The sequence below is a fragment of the Homo sapiens genome, chromosome 3 (assembly GCF_000001405.40).
Source record: "Homo sapiens chromosome 3, GRCh38.p14 Primary Assembly".
In the NCBI taxonomy this organism is placed as follows: domain Eukaryota; kingdom Metazoa; phylum Chordata; class Mammalia; order Primates; family Hominidae; genus Homo; species Homo sapiens.
The window spans coordinates 32093184-32112428 of record NC_000003.12 but is presented as its reverse complement, the minus strand read 5'-3'; the positions used below and the strand labels follow the sequence as shown (position 1 = coordinate 32112428).

Sequence of the window (19245 nt, the reverse complement as noted above, 5' to 3'; positions counted from 1 at the left end):
TCCTAGGCTCAACCAGTCCACCTACCTCAGCCTCCCAAAGTGTTGGGATTACAGGCATGAGCCACTGCGCCCGGCCATGAGTTTTATTTATATTTTATTTATTTATTTTTTAGATTTAGAGACAGGGTCTTGCTATGTTTCTCAGGCTGGACTCAAATTGTGGGGCTCAAATGATTCTCCACCTCAGCCTCCCAAAGTATTGAGGTTATAGGCATGAGCCACTGCACCCAGCCCCACTCATGATTTGTATACCAAACAGGTGGGGGAGATGAAGGAAACAGGTGATTAAATATTACTTTTTAAAAAGCCGTACAAACTTTCTCATCTTAGCCCACAAGGGAACTCTAAGTCTCTTCCCAGTTCATCTCCAGTCCATCCTATCAACTCTCACTCCAACTTCCAAGGCAGAAGTGTGTCCGTGCGCCTGTCCTCAGGGAAGGATTATTTCTGACCATAAAGGAGCTAACTTATAGTCACTCAAATTGTTTCTGAGCTCTCTGTGTGGTGAGAATCACAACAGAAACTGAGTAGCACAGACAAAAGGGTGCCCAGGGCGGATGAACAGCCAGGATGCTGCACCCAGCCAGTTCCAGCAGACCAAAAAAAAAAAAAAGACAGAGTCACAGGTCCAGCTTCAGTCATCAGAGCAAAGTGGGCCAAAGCTCTCCTTGACCTTCGGTATCAGAGAAAATGTCAGGCTGTGGGGTGATGTGAAAACAAGGGCAAGAGATAGGCAACTCCCAAGGACACTCCTCCAGCTGTCTATCAGCCTCTCTCCTCATCTCCTGTCTTCTCTCCTATCCTCTGCCTCTCTACCCCTTGGCCAAACCCCAAACCAGTCCATTTTGTGACTTAATGACAGGTCCATCAAGGATGATGAAACTAATAATACTAATAGCAACTGTCATTTACTGAGTGCTAGTCACCATGCACTCTCCCCAGATCATTTCATTTAATCCTAACCATAATCCCAGACAGCAGGTATCAATACATGATTCTTAGAGAGAAGCGCTTTTCCCAAGGCCTCAGAGCTGCCAAGTGGGAGACCCAGGCAGAAACGTAGGCAGTCAGATTCCCAAGCTCTTTCTTATACCACTGCACTACCCTGCCTCCAAAGGAGATTTAGGATGTGTTTCTGGACATATGCTTCCTATCACAAGGGTTTGGCTGTAAATACAGCCCTGAGGTTTTAACTCTAGAACTTTATTTTGCACTTTGTCTGGGTGATCTTCCCAAGGTGCTGGTTAAAAGAAAGAAACTTTGGGCCAGGCACTGTGGCTGATGCCTATAATCCCAGCACTTTGGGAGGCCAAGGCGGGCAGACTATTTGAGGCCAGGAGTTCAAGACCAACCTGGCCAACACGGCAAAACCCTGTCTGTACTAAAAATATAAAACTTAGCCGGGCATGGTGGTGCCCACCTGTAATCCCAGCTACTCAGAAGGCGGAGGCATGAGAATCGCTAGAACCCAGCAGATGGAGGTTGCAGTGAGCCAAGATGGTGCCATTGCACTCTAGCCTGGGTAACAGAGCTGACTCTGTCTCAACAACAACAAAAACAAAAAAAGAAAAAAGAAACTGTTTCATCTTTGAAAGAACCTGAGAAGCTTTTGTTGTTTTTCCAAATCAAATTTACAGGGTCAGGAAAAGTCATGCAGGTTAGGAAGTCCCTCCCTGCACCTGCGGCAGTGGGCAACACAGCAGGGCTCAGCTGGATGCATGACGGCCCCTCCTCTAGCCTCCTCTCTCTGATCTATGTAGAGAAAATGAGCTTCACCAAAGGACAGGACAAGGGCATGTTATACAACACGTCTACTTTCCTGCCCAGGACCTTCCTGGCTGAAGCTCCCTGGCAAGCCAGCTAGATTCAATATTCTGATAACTGTATTGCAACTGATGACAATTGACTTGGGAGAGGCACTCCATGTGAGAGTTCTCAAATGTGACAAACACCTTTATTTACACAAACAGGCTAAGCTGCCCTAAAGTTCCAAGTATAAACATTGCTTAAGCAACTTGACATTCCTGAGGTAAGAACCAGATCTGGAAGGGTAGGTCTATCTCTTGGTGATCTGTATTAAAATTGGCAAAAGGCTAAAGTTCCTTCAGAAAAAAAAATCTCATTCTCAGGGGATATGATTAAGCAAGTCTAGTTTCAGTGGTAATTCTGACACAAGTGGTCTTGGGACCACAATTTAAGAAACACGATTTAGGCCGGGCGCAGTGGCTTACGCCTGTAATCCCAGCACTTTGGGAGGCCGAGGCAGGCAGATCACGACGTCAGGAGATTGAGACCATCCTAGCTAACACAGTGAAACCTCGTCTCTACTAAAAAACACAAAAAATTAGCTGGGCGTGGTGGCGGGTGCCTGTAGTCCCAGCTACCTGGGAGGCTGAGGCAGGAGAATGGCGTGAACCCGCGAGGCGAAGCTTGCGGTGAGCTGAGATTGCGCCACTGCACTCTAGCCTGGGCGACAGAGCGAGACTCCGTCTCAAGAAAAACAAAAACAAACAAACAAAAAAAGAAACACGATTTAAAGTGTAACAGAGCAGTTACTCCATTCCACTTGGCAATTCCTTCGGTCTTATCTTCCATGTCCTCACTGATCTCAGACCTGAAGGTAAGTTGTTTAAGGACCGGGACTGTGTCCAGCTGTGTCTGCATCCCTGGTCAGACCACAGTCTCTTCACCGGGCAACACTCAAATGTCTACTGACTAGAGCTGAACACTCCTCTGGGGCTTCTCCATGTTGTTTTCAGTTTCTGAGTTCCTGAATCCCTCTGGGGAGGTTGTGATCCTCTCTCTAGGACTGGAGTAACTCTGTACCCAAGGCAGTGGCACAGAAGCCAAGAATTGTTCCCGTCTAATCCCATAATTAATGAAGCCAGGCAGCCAGCCCAAACCATCAGCACATTTCTCAATTGCTCTGCTTCAGTATCACTGGCCAAGTTCTACTCCATTTCCCTGGGCTGGAGTGGGCCAAGGAAACAGTCAAGTACACCAGAATGAAGAAGCCACGGGCAGGCAGCCAAATCCCAGCAGAGGGGGCAGGAGGCTCACTTCACTACTCTTGCTCCAGGCCCAGTTCCAGCATGGCAGAGCTGTGCTACTTGTCCTGCATCTTGCAAATTAGGAAAAGGGGCTGTCATCTGTGGAATTGTACAGACTAAAAAACTAATGTTAAAAAAACATGTGCTAAATGGGTGCCTTTCAAGTGGCATGGCCAACAGGGGAGCTGACACTGCACTCAAGTGAGCTTGACATTAAAACTGGCAAAGCCGGCCGGGTACGGTGGTTCATGCCTGTAATCCCAGCACTTTGGGAGGAAGAGGCAGGCGGATCATGAGGTCAGGAGATTGAGACCATCCTGGCTAACATGGTGAAACCCCGTCTCTACTAAGAATACAAAAAATTAGCCAGGCATGGTGGCGGATGCCTGTAGTCCCAGCTACTCAGGAGGCTGAGGCAGGAGAATGGCATGAACCCAGGAAGCGGAGCTTGCAGTGAGCAGAGATCGCGCCACTGCACTCCAGCCTGGGCGACAGAGGGAGACTCCGTCTAAAAAAATAGTAATAAAAAAAAACAACTGGCAAAGCCAAGCTGAAAGTCCAAATTAAGCTTTGCAGCAGCAAGCTACCAACTCTATTAAATATTGTGTAGAACATTCTGTTGTTGGTTGAAAAATGCAGCTCACAGAAAAGTATGCAATACCCTAGTATTTGCAGCGTGGAGGGCGAAAGGACTATATGTAAGCATTCACTTGCATGGAATTCCTCCAGAAAGGACAGAAGTAATTCATAACACTGGTTTTCCTCCAGGAGGTACTCAGGGGGGATAAATGTGGATGGGTGATGTTTCACTGTTTTTGGTACTCTTTGGTTTTTGTTTTTTATTTTTTGTTTTGTTTTGTTCTTTTGAGACAGGGTTTCACTCCCTTCACACAGACTAGAGTACGATGGTGCAATCTGATTTTGGCTCACTGCAACCTCTGCCTCCCAGGCTCAGGCGATTCTGCTGCCTTAGCATCCCAAGTAGCCGGGACTACAGGCGCCTGCCACCACACCTGGCTAATTTTTTGTATTTTCAGTAGAGACGGGGTTTCACCGTGGTCTCAATCTCCTGACCTCGTGATCCCCCTGCCTCAGCCTCCCAAAGTGCTGGGATTACAAGCGTGAGCCACCATGCCCGACTAATATTTTATTTTTTGTAGAGGCGGGGTTTTGCCGTGTTGCCCAGGCTAGTCTCAAACTCCTGGGCCCACCTCAGCCTCCCAAAGTGCTGGGATTACAGGCATAAGCTACTGCGCCCAGCCCTGGTTGTTAAACAATGTGAATGTATTATTCAATCAAATATCATTATGGTTTTAAAAATTAGTTTTTAGGCAGGGAGCGGTGGCTCACACCTGTAATCCCAGCTACTCAAGTGGATGAGGCACAAGAATCGCTTGAATCCAGGAGGTGGAGGTTGCAGTGAGCCAAGATCGCACCACTGCAACAGAGTCTTAGTATTGACTTAGCATATGCCAGGCACTAGGGTAGATGCCATTCTCAAAAGTTGGGAGACAGATAATCAAATAACTCCTTATAATGCAGTGATGCAGGCCAGCAATAGGGACACAGAGAGAGGCCACTGGCCTTGCTGGGATGGAAAAGTGAAGAACCAGGTAAGGTTTCCTTCAATAAGTACTTTCTGGGCCAAGTCTTGAAAGAGTAAAACTAAGACCAACTACCTAGGACCAGCTGCTGCAGCACTTCTGATGCCTGTCACGCCACAGAAAAACCGGTAAACAGAAGCACTGAAAGGACATCATCACTCTTAACTATTGTACACCAGTCCCTCCAATGTGGCAGAGTGTACAGCAATGAAAAAAGGCTTGGAAACACCAGATGCTACACTTTGCTTCCTTCCCCCTTCACACCCCCACCTCTACATTCACCCAAACACACCAGAGAATCCCACAGTGTACGTTTGATTAAGGGTACTAGAAGAACTGACATTTCTAATGTGCTCTATAAAATGTTAAAGTCAAATAAGGCCCCAAAGAGACGCAAAGCTTCGCAAACATCTCGGCAAGGGAGAATTCTCAACGCCTCAGGGAGAGCGGCCTGTTGAAACTTGGATTTTCTTCCTGATACGACGCGCCTAAGATAGTGGACCTATCAGAAGCGGGGGCGAGACGGGCACCTTGAAGGGCAGAGCATGCCCCGCCCGTGACCTGGGCAGCAAGAGCCCTTTAGCCCTCTCCGCCTCGGTTTCCTCAACACCGAAACTGCAGTAAGAATGCTCGAGCCTCCACCAAGTCCTTGACCCAGGAGATCCGCCGTGGAGAACGGAATACGCCCTTAGGATATTGTGCAAAACACCCAGGCGTGGCAAGCAGGTGGCTTCTGTGCGCTCAGTAACGGGGGCGCAGACAGGTGCCCGCGTGCTCGGGGTGCCCTCTCTCCGCGCTGTCCCCCGCACGCACGCGAGCCCAGCGCCTCCCGAGCGAGTGCCCCGGTGCGGCCTCCTCGGGCGCACGGTGCCCAGCCCAGCAACGAGGTCGCCCACCCCGCCTCCCTGCGCGCAGTGCCCGGTGCCCACGCCGCAGCATGGGGCGCGCAGCCCTCACCGCCCGGGAGAGGCGCTTCCTGGAAGCGGAGCCCCGGCCTCCAGCCCGCCGCCGCTCACCAGTTCCCCGAGCCCACGATGCACACTTTCAGGGGCGCCGCTGCCATGGCCGGGCCGAATGTAGCCGCCTGGACCGTGCTTCCCTGGCCGGCTGCCCACCTCCGCCTGTTCAGCCTTGCCCGCAGCGGCTGGCGGCGGCCCCGCCCCTTTCGCCTCTCCGCCAATGGTCGCGGCCACCCCCGCCCGGCGCCGGGGGCCGCAGCTGACAGCGGGGCAGGACCCGCTTCGCCACTCCCAAGAACCACTGCGCACGCCTGGCCCCGGCCGGCCTCCAGGCCCGGCTCCGGCACCGCCCCGCCCTGCCCGAGGCACGTCGGGACATGTAGTCCTCACCCCCCGTCGCTGCGCGGCCCTAGGCAGCAGCTCCCGCCGCGCCACATGCAGGCCCAGGCCACTGAGCAGCGACTCGCGCCCCTGGTTCCCGGTGGAGGCTGCACTCCATCCTCATGGGTGGAGCAGACCCAACCAGCTTGCCGTGGTGCCCCCTACACGCTCCTTTTTCCCTACTCGGGAAGGGCTGCCACATTGCCATTTGGAGCCGAGAGAGGCTCCTAGGTTGACTCTCAAGCCGACCAGACTTGGGGCAGAGCTCGAAATGCCCACCCGACCTTGTCATCCTCTGTTTCATTTGCACAAACAAGACACAGCCTGGCACCTCTGAACTTCTTAGAGAACTTGGATCTTCAGAGGACTTTGGAATTTGGCTGAACAGTACCTGCATTTCAAGGATGACACCTTTTCTAGTTAGAGTCAAGATAGAAACTTGACCTGGTGCAGTGGCTCACACCTGTAATCCCAGCACTTTTGGAGGCCGAGTCAGGAAGATCACTTGAGCCCAGGAGTTCGAGACCAGCCTGAGCAACATAATTAGGACCCCCCACCCCTCTGTACAAAAATTTAAAAAATTAGCCAAGCATGGTGGCACGCACCTATAGTCCTAGCTACTCAGGAGGCTGAGGCGGGAGAATTGCATGTGCCCAGGAGGTCGAGGCTTCAGTGAGCCAGGATAGGGCCACTGCACTCCAGACTGAAGGACAGTGAGACCCTGTCTCAACAAAAAATAAATACATAAAAATAAAGGGAAAAAGGTAACAACAGCTTGCATTCAGTGGGTGTCACCCTCACACGCTTACTTGGCAGGAATTGCTTTACCATTGTCTTTGCCCAGGGCCTGACTTATCCCTTGCTTGTGGTTTGTTTGCATTTGTGAGTAACACAATGCTCTCCTCCTTGACAAATAGAATCTTAGTTTGTTCATTCTGAGCATCAGTCTCTGCCAGGCACTGTGCTAGACGCTGTCAGAGTAGGACAAAGTCCTTTAAACCAGTGGTTCTCAAACTCTGCTGCATATTAGTCACTGGGGCTTTTAAAAATCCCCATGCCCAGACACCATTGCAGGCCAGTTACATCAGAATGTCCCATGGTGGGATCCAGGCATCAGGATATTTACTTATTGACATATATTTTTTGAGACAGTCTCCTTCTGTTGCCCAGGCTGGAGCAGAATTTTTTAAAGTTCAAGAGGTAGTTGCAAAAGCAAGCCAAGATTGAGAACCAGAAGACTAAAATATCAGTGGATTCTGGCTAAAGAAACAAATACTCTAGTACCTACAAAAAACTAAGCCTAGGCCGGGTGCCGTGGCTCACGCCTATAACCCCAGCACTTCAGGAGGTCGAGGCAGGCAGTTCACCTGAGGTCAGGAGATGGAGACTAGTCTGCCCAACTTGGCAAAACCCCGTCTCTACTGAAAATACAAAAAATTAGCCAGGCATGGTGGCAGATGCCTGTAATCCCAGCTACTCAGGAGGCTGAGACAGGAGAATCTCTTGAACCTGGGAGGCGGAGGTTGCAGTGAGCCGAGATCTTGCCTGGGCGACAAGAGCGACACTCCGTTTCAAAAAAATGATAGTAATACTAAGCCTATTAGTTTGATGCTCAGAGAACTGTTATTTTTGCTTTTTTCTCTACATTGTATGAAATATTTATTTGTGTTACTTATGATATTTACTTAAGGAAATACTTAAAGGGAGCTGGTGAGTCAGAGCAGTCTTTCCATCCCCTCACCAATGGTTTGTTCTCAATTATTTGCACTAATGCAAGGATACATGCAGGGATAATGGGAAAGATGGACTAGTAAAGCTTTATTAATCCTTTCTGTATTTGTGTAACAGAACGCATTTGTCAAATTGAATAATGAAGTCATGTCCTTGGGTAGTACACATACACTGCAAATATTTATGTTATCTAACTGAACTAGGGTCCCTTCACCTGACACAGTAAGGCCAAATACCCACACCAAGGTTTGCAGAGGGAGAAAGAAGGGTGTTTATCTGTAGGGTACCAAGCAAGGAGAATCAGGTAGCTCCTCCTTGATGGCTGGCAAGTAAGGGTTTTTAAAGGCAGCTGGGGGCCAGGCGCGGTGGCTCACACCTGTAATCTCAACACTTTGGGAGGCCGGGGTGGGAAGATTGCTTGAGCTCAGGAGTTCAAGACCAGGCTGGATAACACATACCGTGTCTCTACAAAAAATTAAAATTAGCTGGGTGTCCCAGCTAGTCGGAATAGGCTGAGATGAGGGGATTACTTGAGCCTAGGAGGTCGAGGTTGCAGTGAACTGTAATTGTGCCACTGCACTCCAGCCTGAATGAAAGAGCAAGACCCTGTCTCAAAAATAAAAAGTAAAATAAAGGTGCGTGGGGCAGAGGTTACAGGCAAAGTCATAAATCAATACATGGAGCTACACATTGGTTTGACCTAAAAAAGCAGGACATCTCAAAGTGGGGGAGGGGGACCCACAGGTCATAGGTGAATCAGAGATTTTCTTTTTTGCAATTGGTTAAGGAACTTTAGACAAAGCTTTGTCTAAAAATTTGGGGTCAGTAGAAAAGAACGTTAGTTCTCAGCCTGGGCAGTATAGGGAGACCCCATCTCTACAAAAATAATTTAAAAATTAGCTGACCATGCTGGCACAGACCTGTGGTTCTAGCTACTTGGGAGACTGAGGTGGGAGGATTGCTTGGGCCTGGAAGGTGGAGGTTGCAGTGAGCCATGATTGTGCCACTGCACTCCAGCCTGGGCAACAGAGTGATACACTGTCTCCAAAAAGAAAAAATAAAAGAAAAAAAAAGAATGTTAGTTCTGATTTGCAGACATGACTTTCAGGCCCCTCTGAAAGACGTTGAAGAACAGTGGTCAGAGTTCAATCCTCAGTTCCTCCTTATCTGAGGTCTATATGCCAGTGGATACATTTCGTGAGGGTCTGGGTTTTTAAAAAACAACTCAGGGACATAGTTAAGATGCATCATTAGTTTCTATAGGGACCATCTTCTGACTCTAACTTCCTTGGCTTTTTATTTTTGATTTTTTTTTTTTATTTTGAGGTAGAGTCTTGCTCTGTCATCCAGGCTGGAGTGCAGTGGCACAATCTCAGCTCACTGCAACCTCTGCCTCCCAGCTCAAGTGATCCTCTCCCTCAGCCTCTCAAGTAGTTGGGACTACAGGTACATGTCACAATGCTAATTTTTGTATTTTTTGTAGAGACGGGATTTTGCCATGTTGCCCAGGCTGGTCTCGAACTCCTGAGCTCAAGTGATCTGCCTGCCTCAGCCTCCCAGAGTGCTGGGATTACAGGCGTGAGCCACTGTGCCCGGCCTTGGCTATTGTTTTAAGCTACTATTACCTTCTTGCTTATTAATTTGCTCATTTACTTCTAAAGGCTGGGAAGGTGCCTGGAATTTCCCTTGAAGGAACTCAAGATTTTCTGTTATTTCCATGCTTGGGAGATCCACAGGCCTTTAAGAGAGGTCCCTGCTCTTAAATGATTTTGTAAAGGTCCCTTTACACCAAATGATTCATTTTTAGCAGTTGCCTAAAAGTTTTTAGTTTATTTTAAAAAAGGTTTTTTTTTGGTAGAAACAGGGTCTTGCTACGTTGCTCAGGCTGATCTTGAACTCCAGGTCTCAGGCAATCTTCCTGCCTTGGCCTCTCAAAGTGCTGGGATTATAGGCAAGAGCCACCACGCCTAGCCACCTAAAAGTTTTTTGTTTTTTTTTCTTTTTTTTAAATTTTTTGGGGGTCACGTAAAAGTTTTGTACCTTCTCTGGAAACTCTTATTCCTGAATATTACAACTACATTTGCATGAACGTGAGCTACCCACCTATTCTGTGTGTTGGGGTGATCAGACCCAACACTAAGCTGTGGGTGCTACGAAGTCCAGCAGAGTCAAAGGAATGAGAAAAGACAAGAGAGAAAGTGGGACCAGGGGGCCAACGCTAGTATGGAGGCTGCAAAGGCCCTGAGCTCTGGGAGCCCACGCTATTTATTGGTGATAAAACAAAGAAACAGGTGGTGAGGATGTGGGGGTTGGAAGGAAGTGGCGTATCAAGCGAATGAGCTATAGCTGTGAGAGTTTAGCATTTTCTTTGAAACATATGGCTACTTGAGATAATGGGAGTGCTAAAAGCAAGGAGCCCGCAAGTCTAGACCCATTCCAAAGGCCACGAGGGGTTTTAGACCCTGGACCCCTGACATGTTCCAAGCCCTGCCTCAGGTTCTCTCCCAACACTCAGCTTTTCTCCCAACACTGTGGACATATCCTGCCCAGCATCATCCTACAGTGTTTACTGGTCACCTGATATGCACAGCACATTGTGCCAGAACAGAGAGGATAGTCATTTGGTTTTACAGACTGGTTACAAAGATTAAGACAAAAAACAAATAGGTGAAATTTATGAACTTAATGTTGAGAGAATAAAGCAAGTTTCGGGAGAATACATACAGTGTGATCCCATTTCTGTTAGTTAAGAAACAAGCAAAAATAAATCTATCACTAGGGATTCACATGTAGTGAAACCATAGAGGAAAACAAAGAAAGGAAACACACAAAATGCAGGATCATGGATATGGTGAAGGGCAGGATTAGTTATTTATACATTTTGCACATATTAAATAATTTTTGTGTAGATGTTTAATGAAAATCATGGGGGAAAGGAGAAGCCACAGTACAGAGGACTGAAGAATGCCAGACGAATCACAGTGGATAGGAACTAGTGACCTGCTTTCCAATTTTGAGATAGCTGATCTTCTGCCAGTCCCACTCTCTTTTGTCTAAGATGACAGTGCCAACGATGTTGCCACCTTCTCCAAAAGGGTTGAGTAGCCTGGAAGACAAAAGGTTAGCCATTGTCATTGTGACAGTGCCAACTCTTCGGGGACCTGGAGAAGGCTTAGGGCAGGGGTGTCCAATCTTTTGGCTTCCCTGGGCCACACTGGAAGAACTGTCTTGGGCCACACATAAAACACTAATGATAGCTGATAAACTAAAAAACAAAACAAACAAACAAAAACTTGCAAAAAGAATCTCATAATGCTTTAAGAAAGTTTACGAATTTGTGTTGGGCCGCATGCGGTCCATAGGCTGTGGGTTGGACAAGCTTGGCATAGGGTGTCTATAATTTCATGCATGGAGACAATGTCTTTAACAACATGACTGGTTCATGCATTGTGGTAGAAAGAGGTGCCACTAGCTAGCCAAGTAAAAATCAGGCAGCACTTTGGAAACTCAGCCCAGAAATCTTCTTAGAAAGGTCACTGAGTTCATGAAGTACACTTTTTATTTTCCACATTACAGAAGGCCACGGCAACAGTGTTGCCAAACTTTTCTATGTAACTGGAGTCCCCTTTCCTCTCTCCAGATAACATTTCCCTCACTTTTAAGTCCTCACTCCCAGCCTCCTACACCATTACTAACATGCTCCCAGAGGCGTTTCTGGCTTGTATCTGCTGCCCAGTCCCAAAGCCAGTGCTGCGTGTTATGGTATTATCAATACTCCACTTCCAGGTATCAAAATCTGTCCTGATTATTGCTTGTTGCATAACAAACCATACCAAAATGTAGATCTTAAACAACATTTCTTTATCTCTGGAATCTTACATGGGGGTGGATGTTCAAATGGGGCTGGAAGGTCCACTTCCAAGATGATTTGCTTGGATGGAGCAAGATGGAGGCCAAAATGGCTGCCAAATTGTGGGTGTTGCTGCCTGGGAGCTTGGCAGAAGCTGAGGGCTGGAGGCTGGAGTCCTCTACGTGGGCCTCTCTGGAGCTGCTTCTCCATGGCATAGTGCCTGCGTTCCGCAAGGAAGCATCCCAAGAAAAACAAAATGGAAATTGCCGATTTCTTAAGACTTGAGTCCAGAAATGGCCATGACATCACTTTTGTTGTGATCTTTTGGTCAAGAAATTACAGAGCCCAAATTCTAAAGGAAGGGACATAGGCTCTACCTCTCGTTAAAAGAAGTGTCAAAGAATTTGGGGATTATGTTTTAAAATTGCCATTGCCATGCTCTATATTATATATTCGTATTACAAGTGAGGACACTAAGGTACAGCAACACTAATAAACACTTTCCAAGGGTCCAGTGGTGAGTCAGGACCAGAATTTTTGGATTCATATCCTGCACTTATCAACTGTTCATTTATTCTACATGTACTTACTGAGCACCTACTATGTGCTGGTCACTGTGCTGGGTCCCAAGAATTAAATATTAAACAAAAGCTGGATGAGGTGGCTCACACCTGTAATCCCAGTACTTTGGGAGGCTGAGGTGGGCGGATCACTTGAGCTCAGGAGTTCGAGACCAGCCTGGGCAAGACCCCATCTCTAAAAAAAAAAAAAAAAAAAAATTAGCCAGGTGTGGTGGTGCATGCCTGTAGTCCCACCTATTCAGGAGGCTGAGGCAGGAGAATCACTTGACCCCAGGAGGTGGAGGTTGCAGTCAGCTGAGATCGTGCCATTGCACTCCAGCCTGGACAACAGAGTGAGAGTCTGTCTCAAAAACAAACAAAGAAGAGAGGCAAGGTTCCTGACCTCTTAGATGCTTATATTTAAAGGAAGATGTAGACCAATGAACAGGGAAACACCCTAGTGTGATAAATGGTACCAGCTTACTATGGCAGCTCAGAAAAAGACCCTTGTCCCAGATTTGGGAGTTTAGGGAAGGCTTCCTAGATAAAGTAAGATCTCTGCTGAAACCTGAAGAGAAGGTAGCATCGGCAAAGTAAAGGGGTGGGAGAGCAGCTAATGAGCTGCTCCATGCAGAGGGAACAGCACAGGCCAAAGTTCAGAGTCTAGAGAGAGAATGGGATATTCAGAAGCTAAGAGGAGTTTAGTATGGATGGAGGGAAGAATGAATGAGTGACAGAATATGAGGGGAAAGGGGGAATGGAAATAAATAAAAGCAGAGAGGTAGAGGAGGTACCTGATTATGGTTGGCCTTATAAAGCATATTGAAGAATTAGAACTGAAATCCTGAAGGCCAAAAAAACCATTATAGGGTTTCACCAGGAGCTTAACATCATCAGTCTTGTGTCATAGGAAGCATGCTCTGGATGAATTCACAGGGAAAAGTCCCGAAGGCTGAGGCCAGGAAGGAGCCTGCTGCTGTATTCTATAAGAGCCATCATAATGGCTTAGAGTGAGATGGAGACCAGTGTGGTGGTAACAGTGATGGAGACAGGTGATTGAAAGTCAGACATATCTAGGAAGCAGAAAAAAGAGACTTACTACTTTCTCAGGTGGGAGAGAGAAAAGGGTCTAGGATGACTCCAGCTATCAGTCTTGGGCAACTGAATGAATATCATTTGCTAAAATGGGGAACCCAGGAAGAGAAACCGATCTAGAGAGAAGGATGATGAACTCAGTTCTAGACAAGTTAAGTTTGGGGGAAGGTCGTTTGATATCGAAGTTCAGATTTCAGGGAGGCAGTTGGATATGTGAGCCTGAGATAGACACATTTGTCATTTACCAGCATGTACTTAGAAGTTGCAAGTGGTCAGTGCCTAGAACAATGCCTAGCACAGAGTGGGCACTCAATAAATGTTGAATGAAAGTGATTGGGATCACTCAGAGAGATGGGAAGACAAACCAGGATAGACTCTGGAATGGACTTAATATTAAAGAAGAGAAGCATGAGAGGATGAGAAAGAAACAATGAGAACATTGTGTGGTATCACAGTTGCCAAAGGAAGGCAACATTTCAAGAAGGAAGGATGGTCACAGGGGAGTTGAAAGTGGTCAAATAAAAACTAGGGCTGGGTGCAGTGGCTATTCTATGCTTGTAACCCCAGCACTTGGGGAGGCTGAGATGGGCAGATCGCTTGATCCCAGGAGTTTGAGACCAGCCTGGGCAACACAGCAAGACTGTCATAAAAAAAAAAAAATGGATAGGACTAAAGTATAATGCATCTTTCTTTCTTTCTTTTTTTTTTTTGAGACGGAGTCTCGCTCTGTCACCCAGGCTGGAGTGCATTGGCGCGATCTCTGCTCACTGCAAGCTCCGCCTCCCGGGTTCACGCCATTCTCCTACCTCAGCCTCCCAAGTAGCTGGGACTACAGGCACCCGCCACCACGTCCAGCTAATTTTTTGTATTTTCAGTAGACGGGGTTTCACTATGGTCTGGCTCCTGACCTCGTGATCTGCCCGCCTCGGCCTCCCAAAGTGCTGGGATTACAAGCGTGAGCCACTGAGCCCGGCCGTGTAATGTATCTTTCGGGCTTGGAGGATGTTGGTAGGGTCCTCATATGGTTGTGCAGGTAGCACACTGCACAACACCAGCAGGCACCATGCACATTGCAGACATTGCAGATTGGTATACCTAAGATGACTATTTTCTGATAGATGGAAGCAAGCGTCTTGAAAAAGGGAAATGTTTTTCCAGTCCATATGAAAGCAATATATGGGCTAGCCACAGGCCTGTTTTTTTCTGTATCTGGTCAGAGTAAGTCACTTTCAGTTTTGGGGCAGAGCATAAACTCATTGTGTGGTGGGTGGAGGTATAAATAAATGGAAGGTAGGGAAGTGAGGCTTGAGAAAGTACAGATATCTTAGTCTGTTTGTGCTGCTGTAACAAAATACCTGAAACCAGGCAATTTATAAAGAACAGAATTTTTTTGTTTGTTTGCTTTTTTTTGAGACAGGGTCTCCCTTTGTCGCCCAGGCTGGAGTGCAATGGCAGGATCTTGGCTCACTGCAACCTCCATCTCTCAGGTTCAAGTGGTTCTCGTGTTTCAGCCTCCTGAGTAGCTGGGATTGCAGGCTTGTACCATTATGCCTGGCTATTTTTGTATTTTTAGTAGAGAGAGGGTTTCACCATGTTGGCCAGGCTGGTCTCAAACTCTTGGCCTTAAGTGATCTGCCTGCCTTGGCCTCCCAAACTGCTGGGATTACAGGCATGAGCCACCGAGCTCAGCCCAGAAATTTATGTCTTAGTTCTGGAACCTGGAAAGTCCCAGGTCAAGGTGCTGGCATTCAGTGTCTGGTAAAGGCCTTCTTGCTTGTCCTCACATGATGGAAGAGCAGAGGGAAAAAAAAAAGGGCCTAATTCCCTGTATCGCTTTTATGAAGTCATAATCTGGCCAGGTGCTGTGGTTCATGACTATAATCCCAGCACTTTGGGAGGCTATCATGGGAGGATTGCTTGAGCCCAGGAGTTTGAAACCAGCCTGGACCACTTGGCAAGACCTTGTCTCTACAAAAAAATTTTTAAAATAGCTGGGCATGGCGGTGCACACCTATATCCCCAGCTACTTGGGAGGCTGAGGTGGGAGGCTCCCTTGAGGCCAAGAGGTTAAGGCTTCAGTGATTGTGTCACTGCACTCCAGCCCGGGCAATAGAGCAAGCCTGTCTCAAATAAACAAATAAAGTCATAATTCCCAATTAGAGCCCTCATGACTTAATCACCTCCTAAAGGCCCCACCCCTTAATACTATCAAATTGGGGATTAAGTTTCAACATGAATTTTGGAGAAGACACAGACATTCAAACTGCAGCAGTAGACAGTGTTTTCTAGAAGTTTGGCTGTGAGAAGATGAGAGCTAGGGACACGAGGAAAAGGAGAGGCAAAACTAAAGAGTAGCAAAATAATTTTAGTTTTTTTGTGCTTGTTTGTTTTACATCATGTGGAGGAGGCTAGAATATGTTGAACTAGTCCTGGGGAGGAGCCAACAGAGAGGGAGATATCTAAAATACAGGAGAGGCCAGGTGCAGTGGTTCATACCTGTAATCCCAGTAGGAGGATCTCTTGAGTAGTTGTGATTCCAGCTACTCGGGAGGCTGAGGCAGGGGGATCCCTTGAACCCAACAGTTTGAGGTTGCAGTGAGCTATGATTGTGCCACTGCACTCCAGACAGAGCAAGACTCTGTCTCAAAAGGTAAATAAAATGAAATACAAAAGAGAGACTGAGAATGAGATTGGGAGTAAGAGTGAGAGATAAATTAGTCTTTTTTTTTTTTTAATTGAGACAGAGTTTTGCTCTTGTTGTCCAGGCTGGAGTGCAGTGGCGTGATCTTGGCTCACTGCAACCTCTGCCTTCTGGTTTCAAGTGATTCTCCTGCTTCAGCCTCCCGAGTAGCTGGGATTACAGGCACCCGCCACCATGCCAGGCTAATTTTTGTATTTTTAGTCGAGATGGCATTTCACCATGTTGGCCAGGCTGGTCTCGAACTCCTGACCTTATGATCCGCCTACCTCGGCCTCCCAAAGTGTTGGGATTACAGGCGTGAGCCATGCGCCCAGCCAAGGGATTAGTCTTATATTAGACAAGATGGTCCCAGAAAAATTCTCTGAGAAGGAGACATCTGAACGCATGGAAGGAGCCTGCCATGGGAAGGTGGGAAGAAGACAACTCCAGGGAGGGGGACTGCTAGTGTAAAGGCCCCGAGGCAGTGCAGAGCCTGCATGTTTGAGGAACAGAAAACTATAATTAATAAGTAAGTATGAGAGAGAGGAGCATTTCAGTCAGAGACACAGTCAGCCCAGATTAAATAGCAGGGTCTTGTGGTCCATAGTATTAAAAAAAAAAAAAAAAAGGATTTCCCACTAGGCAAATCTGAGTCAATGCATGCATTAAAATTAATAATAATAGTTATGAATTTAAACTCTTTGAATAAAAGTTCATGAGCCTATACCGATTCAAAGAAACAAGTAAACAAACAAGGCAGAAGGGAAATAAGTAAACAAACAAGGCAGACAAACAAGTCAAATGTCAACCCATAAATATGGAAAGAATGATGGCTCTAGACAATCATCAATGGATGCTAACAATAGTGACGAAAGTTTGATGTGGGACAGGATATTTATTTAGCATTAAAGTGTCCACACAAATTGTTTACAAAGGATAAAACAGTAACTTTACTGTAGAGTAAACTGGCTGACACCACCTTAACCACATGGTCAAAGTCATTGCCAGTGACGGGACAAACTGATACATGCATCTTCTTTAACTAAAATGAGAAGATATTTACTTAATATCAGTGTGTTAGATATTTATTTTTAAAAATAGGACTTCAGGATTTTACAGATTAAAATATTTTTAATTCTTTTGATGTCTGACAGAGACTTGTCCATTTTCTCCAAGTAAGGACATAAGCTATTACCATATCCGATTACCATTTTATTTCATCTTATTTTATTTTAATTCATCTTATTAATCTTACTTTAATTAACTTATATTTTGAATAATTAATGCATCCATTTGGCTCAAAACCCAAAAGTCTTAAAGAGGTATACAGTGAAATCCCTTTCTTTTACAGCAGATGCCCAATTCCCTCCTTTGAAGAAACCCTTGTTCTCAATCCCAATTTCTTTGTGTATCCTTCCAAGAATATTCCATGCATATACAAATACATTTTTTTCCTCTCTCTTTTTTTGTTTTTGAGACAGAGTTTCGCTCTGTTGCCTGGCTGGAGTGCAGAGGCACAAACATGGCTCACAGCAGCCTTGACCTCCTAACTTCAAGCAATTGATCCTCTCACTTCATCCTTCCAACTAGCTGAGACTACAGGTGCGAGCCACCATACCTGGCCAATTTTAAAAAGTTTTTGGTAGAGATGAAGTTTCACTGTGCTGCCCAGGCTGGTCTTGAACTCCTGGGCTCAAGAGATCCTCTGGCCTCAGCCTTTCAAAGTGCTGGGATTACAGGCGTAAACCACTGCGCCTGGCTCCTCTTGTTTTTAATTAGTATGCTATGCACATTGTTCTGTTACTTGCTTTTTCACTAGATGTCATTTCGCATTAAAAATGTCAGTCAACATAAGAAAAGGATGCATATAATGAAAACTTAAAAGAAAACAACTTATCTTTTTGGAAAACACTCCCCCAAAGTCTTTATTTTTCTTATTTCTCTGTGACACTGAAAACTTTTTCACAGGCTGATATTGGTTACATTTATTTCTCTAATTCCAAGTAAAACATACACTTGGACCACCGTAGAGAAACATTTTATCTATTCTGCCTTACCCCACATATATCACAACTTTGCTTCCTCATTACACACCATACAATCTCTGGTGGTGACATTTGTTCTTGGTATAGCGGTTTCAAATGCAATTACCCATCTTCAATATTGTTATTGACAGTCCAGTGATAAATTACAGATTTTTGGCAGAAGAAAACAATGCCTCCTTCTGGAAACTTATATTGGCTTTTATCTCACTTCCTTGGGGAATAGAGACATAATGGATAAAAGGCAGATTTGGCTGCTTGAAAGACCCAAATAGAGACCCAGGCACTTAGCAGTAGCAGGTGTCAATTGTAATCTGTTCACATCAAACTTTATTACATTATCCAAGAGGTCTGTGTACCAGGTTTTATCCAGCAACTGCACGTTTTCACCAGTTCCTTAAATTGGGACAGTGTGAAAATTTGTTGCTTCTTTTATAAACCACACTACCATAATCTACTTTTGGTTTAGAAGCCAGCTCTTAGCCCAGCACTGTGTATTATTATAGATTATGTCTGGGGTGTCAGCCAGCTTGGATCATTTGGAGAACTTGGGAGTTTTAAAGATGAATTTACCAGACTTAGCACTGTAACTGACCAGAGAAAGGCATATCTATTCAGAATTTTTGCTTGATTAAAAGTCAAATATCCACCTGAACTTGGTTTTCTGTGTTTTGTTTTTGAGAGGGAGTCTCCCTCTGTCACCCAGGCTGGAGTGCAGTGGCACGATCTCAGCTCACTGCAACCTCTGACTCCTGGGTTCAGGCGATTCTCCTGCCTCAGCCTCCCGAGTACCTGGGATTACAGGTGCCCGCCACCATGCCTGGCTAATTTTTGTATTTTTAGTAGAGATGGGGTTTCACCATGTTGGCCAGGCTGGTCTCAAACTCCTGACCTCAAGTGATCTGCCCGCCTTGGTCTTCCAAAGTGCTCGTATTACAGGCGTGAGCCACTGTGTCCAGCCTGAACTTGGTTTTTAGTTTGTCTTTTTCATTTGTTTATTCAACACATAGTTACTGAACTCACTATGTGCCAGGAGCTAAGGACACAATGTTGAAGAAAACAAAGTCCCTGCCCTCATGGAACTTACAGTCCAGAAGGGAGACTAGATAAAGAACAAAGCAGGTATCTACAAAACTATCCACCCTTATGTTCCCCTGATGAGAGATGAGGGACGCCAGAACAAATGGGAGGGGCAGCAACCTGGACCCAAGGTGTCAGGTAAGACCTTCTGGATTCCTGAATTGAAGGATGAGTAGGAATTAAGTCGGGGAAGAGTGTTTGAAGCAGAGAGAA

The 19245-nt window shown here is 46.2% G+C and overlaps 1 protein-coding gene across 2 annotated transcripts in view, besides 3 other annotated features; it reads right to left on the bottom strand.

Annotated features, from left to right (window-relative positions):
* GPD1L (glycerol-3-phosphate dehydrogenase 1 like) overlaps nucleotides 1–5809 on the bottom strand; it is a 62090-nt gene extending 56281 nt beyond the window's left edge. For both annotated transcript variants that reach the window (NM_015141.4, XM_006713068.3), the window contains exon 1: nucleotides 5671–5809. In NM_015141.4, coding sequence (NP_055956.1) covers nucleotides 5671–5717 — 47 coding nt within the window. In that variant the 5' untranslated portion in view covers nucleotides 5718–5809. The remainder of the gene's footprint in view (nucleotides 1–5670) is intronic.
* Nucleotides 5407–5546: a silencer, noted in NCBI's record as "silent region_14166". NCBI's record gives its function as "represses an Ori minimal core promoter by ATAC-STARR-seq in GM12878 lymphoblastoid cells {active_cell/tissue: GM12878}" and the evidence as "EXISTENCE:reporter gene assay evidence [ECO:0000049][PMID:35858748]".
* Nucleotides 5667–6076: a silencer, noted in NCBI's record as "silent region_14165". NCBI's record gives its function as "represses an Ori minimal core promoter by ATAC-STARR-seq in GM12878 lymphoblastoid cells {active_cell/tissue: GM12878}" and the evidence as "EXISTENCE:reporter gene assay evidence [ECO:0000049][PMID:35858748]".
* Nucleotides 14046–14145: a silencer, noted in NCBI's record as "fragment chr3:32139776-32139875 (GRCh37/hg19 assembly coordinates)". NCBI's record gives its function as "represses an EF-1alpha promoter that drives an FKBP-Casp9 reporter gene in an ReSE screen in phorbol 12-myristate 13-acetate-treated (for megakaryocytic differentiation) K562 erythroleukemia cells {active_cell/tissue: K562(+PMA)}" and the evidence as "EXISTENCE:reporter gene assay evidence [ECO:0000049][PMID:32094911]".